The sequence below is a fragment of the Homo sapiens genome, chromosome 8, assembly GCF_000001405.40.
Source record: "Homo sapiens chromosome 8, GRCh38.p14 Primary Assembly".
In the NCBI taxonomy this organism is placed as follows: domain Eukaryota; kingdom Metazoa; phylum Chordata; class Mammalia; order Primates; family Hominidae; genus Homo; species Homo sapiens.
In genome coordinates, this window is record NC_000008.11 from 100,514,004 (window position 1) to 100,528,275 (window position 14,272).

Consider the following 14,272-nt stretch of genomic DNA (forward strand, 5'->3'; position numbering starts at 1 on the left):
AGAAATTAATCCCCAAAGAAAGGGAGTAACTTTTATTGTGGCAGAGAATAACCTTCTCATAGCCCAATCACAGGAAGAAATAACTAACTCTTCAATGCCACATTTCCTATTTGCAATTTATGATATGAATATGCAAGAGAATTAGGCTAGCAATTATTCTTGAACCTCTAAAAAGTAATTTGGCCTAGGGACACATAAAAACACAAAAGCATTCTGTAAAGCTGATGTTGCATACCATAAAATTGTAAATGTACATAAAGGGATACTGTGAAAAAGAGGAAAACCATTGAAATTTGCCAAGATGTATCTATCCATAAAATATGCAAACATTAATTTGTAATGATTCCAGCAAATATTTATCTATTTTTAAAAAAAAAATTAGGAGATTTACTATTGTGCATTTTAAGCTGAAATTTCCCTAGGTCAGAGCTTACGTTTAAATTGATTCTTAAACTAATTCAGACATGAAAAAATAATCCAAGTTAAAAACAACAAAACAATAATAAATCTTTAGGGAAAAAAAGGGAGAAGACTCTATTGAACATCCTGAAAAGTGATTCCTAAGCAGAAACAGTGATAGTTTTATCCTGAGTGTGGGTTATTCCTCCATCTTCTTTTTTTTTTTTTTTTTTTTTTGAGATAGAGTCTCACTCTGTCACCCAGGCTGGAGTGCAGTGGTGCAATCTCGGCTTACTGCAACCTCCACCCCTGGGGCTCAAGTGATTCCCAGAGCTCAAGTGATTCTTGTGTCTCAGCCTCCCAAGTAGCTGGGACTACAGACACGTGCCACCACACCCGGCTAATTTTTGTATTTTTAGTAGAGATGGGGTTTCACCATATTCGCCAGGCTGGTCTCAAACTTCTGACCTCAAGTGATCCAACCACCTTGGCCTCCCAAAGTGCTGGGATTACAGGAGTGAGCCACCACACCCAGCCTTATTCCCCCATCTTTACACATATTTCATTGCCTTTTCAGAGATGCTTCTAAAGATGTGGAAAAGGATACAGAGAAAAACATATTGAAGAGCTTAATTAATACCTTGAAGACATCTCTGGCACACTGGAGAACCAGGCAGTAAATGTTTTTTTGTTTTTGTTTTTGTTTTTTTAAATGCCATCAAAAAAGGCATTTTATAATCCCAGGGCTTAAGTTGACAAATGTTCCTGCAACCATTGATCTCCTCACTTGAATCAAAAGTATGCAGCGGACAATGAGCTTGAATATATAATTGCTTCGCTGTTAAGAAAAGTACTGTGACTAGCCAGTACAAAATGTGGTAACATCATGCCTGCTCTTGAAACCCCGGGGCCTGTTGCTCAGCTTCCTCACGGTATTTCCATGGTGCAAGGTGCTTTACAGAGAAAGTGCATTAACCGAAATGGATTTTTTTTGAGAAGTGGCAAGATTTCTCAAAAGAAAATTGTTTATCAAGAGAAGGTAAGTTTAGAGTGAGTCTCCTGTTGACACACAAATAGAAACTAGGTTACAGAAATCCACATCCTCAGCTATGACTATCAGCTTGATGAAAAGATCAGTCTGTATTTGGCCTAACTATGAAAGTACACAGAACACAATACTGACACAGTCTATCTTTAGGTATTTCACACCAGACTCTTGTAATTTTAATATTTAGAATGGCACGCTGAGGTGCGGGGGAGGGGGGGGGCGGTGATGGCAGCGTGTGAGGGAGGGGCAGTATGGAAGAGGGAAGAACAACAGACTGTATCTGGATTCAAATAATGGTTCTGCTCCTTTCCTAAGAATGGGACCACAGTCATTCAGTTCCCCTTGGTCTCCCCAACCCTCTCCACTCCAGATGACTTCTAATGCCCCATCTCTAAAATTCTGTGATTCCAGTAACTTGTTTTTGTTTTTTTTTTTTTTGAGATGGAGTTTCACTCCTGTTGCCCAGGCTGGAGTGCAATGGCATGATCTCAGCTCACTGCAACCTCCACCTCCCAGATTTCAAGCAATTCTCCTGCCTCAGCCTTTCAAGTAGTTGGGATTACAGGCATGCGCCACCATGCCCAGCTAATTTTGTGTCTTCAGTAGAAATGGGGTTTCTCCACATTGGTCAGGCTGGTCTCGAACTCTCGACCTCAGGTGATCCACCCGCCTCGGCCTCCCAAAATGCTGGGATTACAAGTGTGAGTCACTGGCCCCCAGTAACTTGTTAATGTTCATTTTTCAGGCTTCATTCAAATGATTCATTAGAATGCTAGAATAGAACTCAGGTCATTTGATTTCCATAGTTTAGAATAATATCGGCTTATTCAGCTGAACATAAATCCTTTTTTGGAACACAGAAAGACACAAATAAGGTAAACTGACATTTCCAGGTATGCTAGAAACCAAGACTGCATTTTGAATATGAGGCAACAAAGTATTGTTTCAAATTGCAAAAGGTCAATACATTTTCTGCTGTTATGTTCCAGAAATCAAAAAGTAATTTTATGGTAGTCCTATCAATTCACACTAATAGCTATCTAACTATCCACCCCCCCATCATAATCTAAAAACAACTTAAGTAGGCTAAAGTGAATATTTAGAACAAGAAAATAAAACTAAAGATAAGGATTTAAAATAAATAGGAATGAGGTTCTAGTAATCATCATAATGACGTACATTACAGTTGCTTGTGGTGAAACCCAAATTTAGCATTAAGCTTTTCAGCATCCAGTGTGAAAGATGAATTCTACCTGATCAATTACGCAACTCCTAGAGAACATAAATTGAAAGTAAAGTAACTGCTCAGCAGAAATACAGTTGTGCGTGTTAAGAAACAAAAGTTCCTTGTCAGGGGTCTTCATAAAGAATGGTGCCAACAGCATCCTCAGTAGCTTTCCTTTATAGATCCAATGGTTAAATCCACAGAAGACAATTTTCACTTCAAGACAATTGCATCACAACTAAGTAGACAGGCATCACAGCAGGATGGTGACAAGAGACCCCGGTCCCATACTGCCTGAGTTCAAATCCCAGCTCTGCCGCTTACTGGCCGTGTTACCTTGGGCATGCTATTCAACCCTGCCTCAAATGCCTTAGTTTCTCTAATGGTGAGGTGGGGACAATAATAGCATTTGTGAAGATTGAGTTAATAAGTATAGCATTACCACTTATTAATGAAGAGCTCAGTAAAAGCAGTTGGGCTGGGCACTACTATTAGCACAGTTCAAGTACCCAGCTCTCCACTGACCTGACTTGAACTCAAGGCGGTTTCTACAACAGTGTGGTCCCAAAGAACTTCCTGTAAAAATGGAATCTTCTTTACCTTTGCTGCCCAAGAGTACCAGAAATGTGGCTAATAAAGAAATGAATTTCTAATGTAATTTAAACAGCCACAGGTGGCAAGTGGCTACTGCATTGGACAGCATATAGAAAATTTTCAACGTTGCCAAGTTTGATTGGACAGTGCTGCTCTAAAACATCCTCCAAGCAATATTCTCTAAATACTGTTATCAGCTAAGCTTTTAATGAGTGTTGGGTAGCAAGGAACTCCAGATTGTAGTCCTTGACATCTAAGGAGTGTGGCCAAATCTCTGTCCCCAGGTGAATGTAGACACCTATGCCTCTGGCTATGGAGCAGTCTGGTTGTGCTGTGAAAAGTCAAGAATGAGTGGCTGAACAGAATGCCAGCCTATGTGTGCTTTGAGGGGAGCCAAGGCCAAGATCCCCCCTTAGAAAATTGTTTTGAATCTACTTGGAGCACAAAGGAATTAACCTCATCCCAAAGTTCTATTTTAGCACAGCTGGAATTGCTTCGGCCTGAACAATTTTAAAGGTGTTTTAATCAGATACTGGCCTCATTTTCCCCAAATGTTCTATTAACTTTGGGAAAAGCTACTTCCTGGTGTTCACTCCAAGATAAACTATTTGGAAAAGGTACATCAAGATGACTACATAAGGCTGGGCGCAGTGGCTCACGCCTGTAATCCCAGCACTTTGGGAGGCCGAGGCAGGCAGATCACTTGAGGTCAGAAGTTCAAGAACAGCCTGGCCAACATGACGAAAACCCATCTCTACTAAAAATACAAAAATTAGCCAGGCATGGTAGTGCACACCTGTAATCCCAGCTCCTAGGGAGGCTGAGACAGGAGAATAGCTTGAACCTGGAAGGCGGAGGTTGTAGTGAGCCTAGGTCACACCACTGCACTCCAGCCTGGGTGAAAGAGTGAGACTCTGTCTTAAAAAAGATTAAATAAGCTAAGCTATAGAATGGCTCCCAGATAAGTAGGAGTTAACAACTGTCAAAATCAATAAAATGATTTCACATAAATTATGTAATAGAAACACAAAATAAAGGGAAAGAAATTTATAATAAAATGTATATTTCAATATGTAAATGCTCAGGCCCAGCTACATTAGAAGAAACAACGAAGTCATTACTATCTGTAATAGAATTATGTTGATGACTTAATTATAAGTAGCACTGCTGTCAATAACAAGATTTTTGAAAAGCGGTGCAATTCTTGATAAAGTTTTGAACAAAATGAAGTCGAATCTTCCCTTAATTATCTCGTGGTTGTATTCTTGGAAAATTCATGATACATTAAAACTATATACCAGGCCGGGTGGGGTGGCTCACGCCTGTAATCCCAGCACTTTGGGAGGCCGAGGCGGGTGGATCACGAGGTCAGGAGATCGAGACCATCCTGGCTAACATGGTGAAACCCCGTCTCTGCTAAAAAATACAAAAAATTAGCTGGGCGTGGTGGCACGCCCCTGTAATCCCAGCTACTCAGGAGGCTGAGGCAGGAGAATGGCGTGAACCCGGGAGGCAGAGCTTGCAGTGAGCCAAGATTGCACCACTGCACTCCAGCCTGGGCGACAGAGCGAGACTCTGTCTCAAAAAAAAAAAATAAATAAAATAAAAAAATAAAACTATACCAAATAATACCTTGTTTTAAAATGTGAAATGGTTGGGTTTTAGGTTCAGATATCTAAAATTGTTTGTTTTCTAAACACACGAATGTCCAGCAGAACATTCAAGAATCATGTGGGATTTAGAACAATCCTTTGTTAGACTAAACTGTCCCATGCACTGTGGGATGTAAAACAACTATGGTCCCTGCCCACTGATTGCCAGGAGTGGCCCTAATCACTTCTAAAACCATTAGTCCAAGCTCAACATATGAATTCTACCAACCCCACCCCTGCCAATGACTGGTTCATCAATCCAGGCCTAAGTCAACCTGTGTAAGGGTACTGGTTGGTTTGAGAATGGGGTACATGATATCATGTCAGCCAATGAAACAGCTTGTTTGCATCAAAGTTTCCTACGAGGGAGTCACAGGAAAGACGGTCTCTTCTCTATGTGGTGATAAATGGATGTGATGTCTAAAAATTCTGTACTCATTGCAGAACCAGCTGGAGGAAGCAGCCAACAAGGAGGGCAGGGCAAGAGCACAAGGGAACTGGGCTAAAGATTCTGGATGATGTCACCCTTGGGGTCAACCCTACCTTTTTATGTAAACGGGCTTTATGTAACTGGACTTTCAGTTACATAAACAAATACATTTCCTATGGGGTAAGCCGTTTTGAATTCGGATTTTGGTTCCTGCAGCTGAAAGCACTTTGATACATGCATAAACAATTTCACAAGTCAAAGACTGAGGCCTGGTTTTGAAATAAAAACATAGAAACCAAAACAGCAGCAGTGGCAGGTGAATATTGTTCCTGGGCTTCTACACGAAGTGGTAAACCTGTGGCAGGTGCTGCTGATCGGAAGCCTGCATGCTCCACAGGTGAGGGGGCTCCACACTGCCAGCCTGTATAGTTCGTTCATGAAGCTACAGGCGCACTGTGGAAGGAGGACCAAGCACAGCTCACACCTGCAGCTTGTTGCGGGGGATGCATAAAAGGCAAAGAGCTATTCAACCTGAAAAGAAAAAATATAGCTACAGGTATAAAAGCAATGCTATAAGTATTTGTGTACCAAGAGCTCTACAGGATGCTCTGTAGACAGATGGGGTTATAAAAATAGACTAAGTCCCTGCTCTCATGAAGCTTACAATTAAACAAGTTAGAAAGAAAATCATGTTTACAGAGAAACGGATCAAGGAATGCAAAATACAAGTAATAAAACTGAGTGTGGTAAGTGGTGGGGAAAGGAGGGGTTGGGAAGGAGGCAGTCAAGTACGGTTAACTATGGAAGACTTTCTGACAAGCCAGGGTTGGAGCTTGAATATTAAAGCTTCTACCACTGGGAAGATGTGTAAGAAAGGAAAAAAAGTAAGTATATAGGACCACGAGTGGAAAATTTAGTAATGTCCTGCTGAAATGGTATCAGGCGAGGTTCTGGATAAATATGGTTCCATTTCCAGATTCATGAAAGACAGCGGGACAGGAGGAAAGCACAAGCATAATTGGGGCTGGAGCCTCAATCTGGAATCCCTCTTCCACCAGGTCCTACCTGTTTGACCTTGGACAAGTTACTTAGCCATCCCTGTGTCCATTTTCTCATCTTATAAACTGGGGTCATGTAGTGCTCAAGGGGGCGTAGGGTAAAACTTGCATGCTAAAAACTTGCATAATTGGGAGGGGCTTAATTGTGGTAGTTATGATCATCACCCTTAAATCTACGAGCAATTCACTCAAATTAATTTCACAGTATTTATAAGGCAAACATATATGAAACTCAATATACCTAATACATTAGGTTTGAAAAAAAGCTGTGTTTTAAAAAGCAGCTAATTGCAATCCATTACAAAATCCCCAAATTAAAACTATAATACACTAAAAAAAAAAAAAAAAAAGAGAAATCGTGATTAAGGGATATATAAATACATTTATTGGTGGTATTCCTGAATGATGAATGCAGAGAACAGAATACAAAGAAATCAGCACATAAAAGGAACCATTAATCTTTAAAAATGCTATATACTTACATTTTGACCAATTTTGCATATTTGTTTAGATTTACAAACAAATGTAAAGCTAATTCCAAAGTTTTCTTCTGAATATACTTCAAATTTGAATTGTAGTGTTCTCCATTCCAAAGCCAGCTGTTTTTTGCTGGATTTACACCAACTATGATTTACTTTGTTTGTATCTAACCTAAAAGCAAGACTCTGCAAGCTGATCCTGAAGCAGCCAGTTACTCAGGAATTTTACAACAGCTATTAAAGAGAGGATAAAGCCACATGAAAGAGCAAGCCTCAATACTAGATACATAGATACAAGAGAAAATACCAAGAAGCAAAAAGAATCACAGAAATACCAATTCTATTCTAAAGCATAATTTCTAATTCTAGCAGCAATTCAATTAGCAATAGCTTAGGTGCCTTTATTCCAAAAAACAAAACCATTAGTTCTTTCACTACAATTTCCTGACTTTACCCAATAAATAATTATCAAGCCTTCATATTCTTTTTTAACCACTCAAGAACATAATTCATACATTACAGAATCATTAACAAAAGAGGCCTTCAAACATACTGCTGAAAGCTGCAATATAGTTTGAGGGCCAGATTTCAATTTACATAATATTACCATTCATAAAGAGTTTATGACACCCAGTACGATACTGTCCAGCACTGTTAACTCAGAAATGCTCCATCCATTCTTGCCATCAGAGAATTACAGATATGGATGGGATTGTTAAAAGTCTAACAGGGCCTCCAAATAGGATTGCACATGAAATAATTATGAACTATGATAAAACTGTGACAACACAGCTAGCTTATAGAACTGAGTTTTTCACTATAATAGCACTACAGAATTATGACAGTTAAATATCAGAATTATTTTTCCCTGCTAACTATTCAGTAGAAAAAGGATTTTCTGACTGTAATTCTGATGAACTGTTATCTTTGATGACTAGGATACTCGGGAAAATTGGAAAGTGAACAAAATGAACTCATTTATTTTTCACAGATATTAACAAGCAAAGCAGTTTACAAAAAGATCAAAAATTATCCTAAAAACAAATAAATATAAGATCAAATCAATTATCTTTGAACAAAATATAGCTCATTTTCAAAAGTTTTGTTTGGTTTGTGACTAGACTTAAAAATACTAAAATAAGCCAAATAGATGCTAACAATACTAATTTGCACACAAGATTTGAAAAAAGTACTTCAAGTTTTATCTCTTATCCCTAGAGAAAGTAAATAAAAAGTGGCTCTTGCAAAAATAAATGAAAACAAAACCACCAACAAAAACTAATCATATAAGATACTGTTTTTCTTTTTGAATACTTCAATTGGTCCTATATTAGGATAAGGTTTTGATAGCAAGGACTTCCTAGCTTCTTCCTTTATCTTCCATTCTCTAGTCACTTCCGTGTTTTTATCAAACAAGGCTACGTGTAGGCTTTCCTACAAAGTCAGGTTGAGTCAGAGGTAGCGTTAGGATGCAATATACTTGATCATAGTATGTAGTTAGTTCAAATGAACACATCATTATCTAAAAGGATTACAATAATTAAAAATGCAAAAAGAACATGTACTGCCCTCACTGCTTTGCGCTAAGAAAAATTCTGAGAAACTGAGAACAAACATTGGAAGCCAGGAAACAGGCAATTAATTGCCTCATCTTCCATGAGCTCCTTTAATGCACCAGTTCAGGCTGGTTTTCCACGAAGGGTAGCACCCCACTCACATAATAAGCAATGCCAAGAGACAGCAAAGCAATGACGAAGATCAACAGCAATACTCTCCAGAAGCCCAGATCCTCCACAAACTCCTGCCACGTGGTTCGGAAGCTGGAGAGGACTCCTTCACCTTGCTGCAGGTTGGGATTGAGGAGTGAATGGCTTTCCATGGCACTGTGGAAGAAGAAAGAGCAAAAAGGGCATTAAAAAAACACAGCAATTCCAAAAACATAAAACCACAGGGCTACTATTTAGAAAAGACCAAATACACACACACACACACACACACACACACACACACACACACATATATATATATACACACTCTTACATGCTTACGTATCTGAACAATATATACTAAACTGTAAATTGCTAAATGGTAATGAGTATGTTTCTCTTGGTTTAGAATTTAGTAAACTCAAGTTAAAAATTCTATTTAAAAGGTCCTGGCTGGGCGTGGTAGCTCATGCCTGTAATCCCGACACTTTTGCAGGCCAAGGAGGGAGGATCACTTGAGCCCAGGAGTTCGGGACCAGCCTGGGTAACATAGCGAGACACCATCTCTATTTTTTTTTAAGGTGTCCTGAGCAGAAGTCTTGAAATAGGTTATGAGTTGTCTCCATCAAGATATTAAACCACAACACATTCTTGTTATGTTAAATTTAGAAGATTCAAAGTGCAGACTCATAATTTAAGAATGTGTTAATACGAATAAGCAGACATGCAGGTGATGACACCTGAAGAGGACAGTCATCTACAAGTCAAGCAGAGAGGCCTTAGAAGAAACCAACTTTGTGACACCTTGATCTCAGACTTCTAGGCCCTAGAACTGAGAAAGTAAATGTCTGTTGGGGGGAGGGGGGAAGATGAGTAAATCTAAAAAGTCACTTATACAGTGTGTGTGAATCTTGAAGTTAAAAGGGAATTTTTATTAATTTAGTTCAATAATCTGACCAATGAAGGAATTCCTTCTTTAATTGTAATTCTCTAATAATGGAAGGTTACTCCTCAGCCTGTTGTACATGTGGACTCGTCTAGTCATCAGAAATTCTTTTTTTTTTTTGGAGACAGAATCTCACTCTGCCGCCCAGGCTGGAATACAGTGATGCGATCTCAGCTCACTGAAACCTCCACCTCCCCAGCTCAAGCAATCCTCCTGCCTCAGCCCCCCAGGTAGCTGGGACTACAGGTGCATGCCACCATGGCTGGCTAATTTTTGTATTTTTGGTAGAGACAGGGTTTCGCCATGTTGCCCAGGCTGGTCTTGAACTCCTGAGTTTAGGTGATCCACCTGCCTTGACCTCCCAAAGTGCTGGGATTACAGGCATGAGCCACCACAGCTGGCCTAGTCATTAGGAATTCTTAATAGTTTCTTCCTATTGGTGTTAGTTCTATCTTGTACAGTAAGACAGAATATGTTCATTTCTCTTCTGCATAAAGGCTAGTCTAGTTGAAAATAAGGTAGTGCAAATACCATAAAAACACTGATTCTGGTTTTCAGAACTTTATCAATGAGAAATACGACTACCACAAAGAGAAACTGCATCTGACTTTGGTACTTGGAAGCACTAAGGGAAGAGCACTCATGGTTATATCACAACATACAGGCCCAATAAGAGGGTATCATTTAGATTAAAGCCACCATAACCATGATCATAGGAATCAACTATCTACTGGTTATCAAAGTTCATTACTATCCTTCCTAACTCCCATAAAACAGTATCTTAGAGTCTCATTCATTATGAACTATGAATAAACATGCAAAACTGACATTTTTTAACCTACAACTTTATTTTACTTCTTGATACCATCAAACAAAAGTCCTTCAGCCTTTACCAACATTAGAGGTCTTCTCTGATCATGGGAAACTGACTTCCTAATGGGCCAGTCTGCTTAACACCCAAACTTTTTTTTTTTTAATAATTAAAACATGTTTATTCTCTGAATAAGAGATGATGTTTTCAGTGGGAATCTACAACACCACAGTAATTTTGGAACACTTGACAGCAAGTTTAAAAATAAGATTAGAACTTTGAGAAGGCCTAAAAGAGTAAAACCACAAATAGATAACACAGTTCTGCAGAGGCTTAGTTTGACCTATGTAAAATTTATTGATTACGAGTTGACATGCCCTTATACATGTTAGGTATAAAATGAAAATTCCATGAGCATTCTCATTGTTCTTCAGAGCTCATGAAGCTCTGCCAATCGGGATATTCTATAAAGACTTTATCCAATGAAATGCTTTCTACTGTCCAGGGAATATCTGATTCTAACATAATGGGGTGTGTGTATAATCTTTTTTTAAAAACGTGATATCTACACTGTCTTTGGGGGGTGTGTTTGCATGTATCTTTTTTAAAAAATGTGATAGCTATACTGTTTTTGTTATCCCATACCTACAAAGTAAAAAGGAATTAAACTTAGAGTTATATGGAGGAGTGGGGAAATATTTTTCATTAACTTGATTTATAGTCCCTTATAAGGCCTGCAGAAGTTGTGCTGTCTTGGGGGAATCCTAAGAGAAATGGAAAATATTATAGTAAATACATTTAAAACCCTGCTTTATCTTCTGCTCTAGAAAAAGCCATTACACAATTATGCCATAATGCCATGTGCTAGCCAATCTCTTTAAACTTTTTCATCTACATTTATTGAGACATAATTCACATCCCATAATATTTACCTTTTGAAACTGTACAATTCAGTGGCTTTTCATATATTCCCCAAATTGTACAACCATCTCTTCTAATTCCAGTACACTTTCAGCACCTCTATAAGAAACTCTGTACCTATTAGCAGTCACTCCCATTGCCCCTTCTCCCAGCTTCTAGTCTACTTTCTCATCTACTTTCTGTCTCTATGGATTTGCTTATTCTGGACATTTCACATAAACAGAATCATGTAATATGTGGCCTTTTGTGCCTGGCTTCTCCAATGTAGCATGTTTTCAAAATTTATCCATGCTGTAGCATGTATCAGTATAATATAATAATATTAGTAATATTCCATTGGATGAACAGATGATGTTTATTCCTTCATCAGCTGATGGATATCTGGGTGGTATCAATGTTTTGGCTATTATGAATAATGCTGCTATGAACATTCATATATAAGTTTTGTGTGGACATATGTTTCAATTTTCTTTGGTATATTCCTAGAAGTGGCACTGCTGGTCAGATGGTAACTCTACGTGTAGCTTTTTGAAGGACTGCCAGACTTTTCCAAAGAAGCTGCTCTACTTTCCATTCCCATCAGCAGTGTATGAGGGTTCCAATTTCTCCACATCCTCCAGAGCACTTGTTATTATCTATCTTTTTAATTGCAGCTATCCTAGTGGGTGTGAAGTGGCATTTCACTATGGTCCTCATTTGCATTTTCCTAATGACATTACCTTTCAACTTTCTGATTTAAGCTTCAACCACTGAATTTCTACCATGACACTGAGGGGTAGGAGTAAGATAGGAAAACTAGGTAATAAAAGTGTTAATAACTCAATTTTTGAAAAACGAGCTTTATACAGTGTTACAATTAATACAAACTCTCATGCTGCAGTGAAATGGCAGGTATGTGAAGGAAGCAGGAGTACTTCCACTGCTCATCCAATGGAATATTATTTTGTACTTATCACTTCTTAGTAAGTAATCACAACTGAGGCAAACTAATGCTAAAAGTATATTTCTAATAAAAGGGTGCCAAGAAACTGGCTATTAACAAAATAAAGATCCTAAAAATATACCAAACAAGAACACATTCTTGGTTGTTTTTCATGGTAAAGAAGCTTAAAGTACTTAATGTTATTTCATAAAAAGATAAAAATAAATTTCAAGTTATCTTAGAGGAAAAAATCTTTAACAAATAATAGTTAACTCAATATTGTTAAAGTGCTTATGCCATTCTGTCAATCCAAAGTACAGAGGAGAGAAAAACAAGGGCTTGCAAATACATCTCTGACTTCTTGATTATCTATTTGTCAGCTTTCAGTGATCACTCAAGAGGAGTATGCACTGTTCCAGAAGTAAAGCTCTTGGATTTCTTTAGGACTGTATTAAAGTGCTTGAAAGTATCTGAACAAAATAGACCTAAGCTTGAGAGTGGAATTAATGGTCCCCAAAGAGCACATCATCTGGCACACGAGAGGAGGAAAGCAAAAATGGGTACAAAGGAATCAAATGAAGGGTAAGCTATGAAAAACAGAGAGGATTTCATTTAGAACTCACAGAAACAATGATCCCAATGGTCTAAGTGGATTATGTGATTCTAAATCCAAGTCCTAGTCCATCAGCTACTAGGTAAACAGCTGATGTGGGCCCTTGCTTATTCTATTTACAACCTACCGAGAATACTGGGAAGAGGCTATGGAAGCTCAGCATCCTTTTTCCTTCACACGTATAATGTGGAAGGCTGAAACTGCATGGTGGTCAACCAGATAATATGCTACTAGAACTAAGTCTGGCCTATTAACTTTACCTGTTGAGCCCAGTGACATCAGGAGAAAAGATGGTGCGCCACCTTTTTGGAGCTCTCTGAACTGCATTCTCCATTGCTTCTAGATGAGAAATGATGAGCTATTCAAGACCCTGTCAGTTACCACATCTTAGCTTCGATTACTCACAGGAATCCAAATTTCATTAGCTCCAACTCATATGAAAGTCACTTTCACTTTCACATTACTGAACTGTGCATGTGTTAAATACTATCTTGCTTTCCCTCTCTTGTTTTCTTGTTTCTCAGCATTCCACTTCCCTACCCTTGAAACTACCTTTCAGTCTTTTCTAAAATTGCCCAAGTTCTTGGCTTTACTTATACTTCTCTTTTTTTTGAAATTCCATTCTTTTTGTGACCTGTACTTAAAATCATCAAGCTCCGGCTTCCTCCCCTCAGATTCATTTGTTACTATTTCTCCTTTGTACTGTCAATACAGCAGGTGGCTAACAGAACATTATGCGCACATGACATGTAGTACTTTCTGTTAATAGCTTCTCAATTGTAATCTGCAGTCATAAGGTCCTATATAAAGTTCAAGTTGCACTTAAAAGCAAATGAATATTAAAGTTCACAAAGTTAACCATAAATCCACATACTTAAAGTGACTTTCCCCTTAAAAAATCGTATTATCTTGCTGGGTGTGGCTACATGTGCCTATAGTCCCAGCTAGTCAGGAGGCTGAGGCAGGAAGAATGCTTGAGCCCAGGAGTTCAAGGAATGAGTAATACAGTGAGAAAAAAAAAGTTGTATCTCCAGTACCTTTCACTCTCAGCTGTTTGCATGGTCTCCAGTTTCGAGTGGGTTCCTCTGTTAAATCCTTTCACCTCCTGTTCTTCCAAAGATTCCAGCAATCGGATGACATCTTTATTTACTCCTCTGCGCTTTGCCAGAACTAAAGGGGTAGCACCTTGATGATTGCTAAAAAAAAAAAAAAAAAAAAAAGTTTATAAAAATAAAGAAGCCATCATAGCAGTTATACTACATTGTCAGTTCCATTTTTAGTACCCACTTATATAGATCTCAGTGAAGAAAGAATGGGCCCAATTAGGGCCTACCCTAGGGCTGTGGGGAACTAAAGGAGTATTTGGCTCACTACAACTCTTCCACCATGAGCCTTGACCATCTGGCTGCAATCAGATGTTGACTGATGGGATTTTTGCACAGTTCATCACAGAGGCCGTTATCCTGTT

At 38.6% G+C, this 14,272-nt stretch overlaps 1 protein-coding gene across 4 annotated transcripts in view, besides 2 other annotated features; it reads right to left on the reverse strand.

Annotated features, from left to right (window-relative positions):
• The window catches only part of ANKRD46 (ankyrin repeat domain 46), a 50,008-nt gene that overhangs the window by 4,252 nt on the left and 31,484 nt on the right, over positions 1-14,272 (reverse strand). For 3 of the 4 annotated variants that reach the window (NM_001270377.2, NM_198401.4, NM_001270378.2), the window contains 2 exons: positions 13,842-14,000; positions 6,769-8,768 (listed from right to left, as the gene is read on the reverse strand). In NM_001270377.2, coding sequence (NP_001257306.1) covers positions 8,552-8,768; positions 13,842-14,000 — 376 coding nt within the window. In that variant the 3' untranslated portion in view covers positions 6,769-8,551. Of the gene's footprint in view, positions 1-6,768; positions 8,769-13,841; positions 14,001-14,272 lie in introns of those variants that run through there. The other variant, NM_001270379.2, reaches the window with a different exon arrangement.
• Positions 1,315-1,494: an enhancer, noted in NCBI's record as "active region_27711". NCBI's record gives its function as "activates an Ori minimal core promoter by ATAC-STARR-seq in GM12878 lymphoblastoid cells {active_cell/tissue: GM12878}" and the evidence as "EXISTENCE:reporter gene assay evidence [ECO:0000049][PMID:35858748]".
• Positions 1,595-1,704: a silencer, noted in NCBI's record as "silent region_19418". NCBI's record gives its function as "represses an Ori minimal core promoter by ATAC-STARR-seq in GM12878 lymphoblastoid cells {active_cell/tissue: GM12878}" and the evidence as "EXISTENCE:reporter gene assay evidence [ECO:0000049][PMID:35858748]".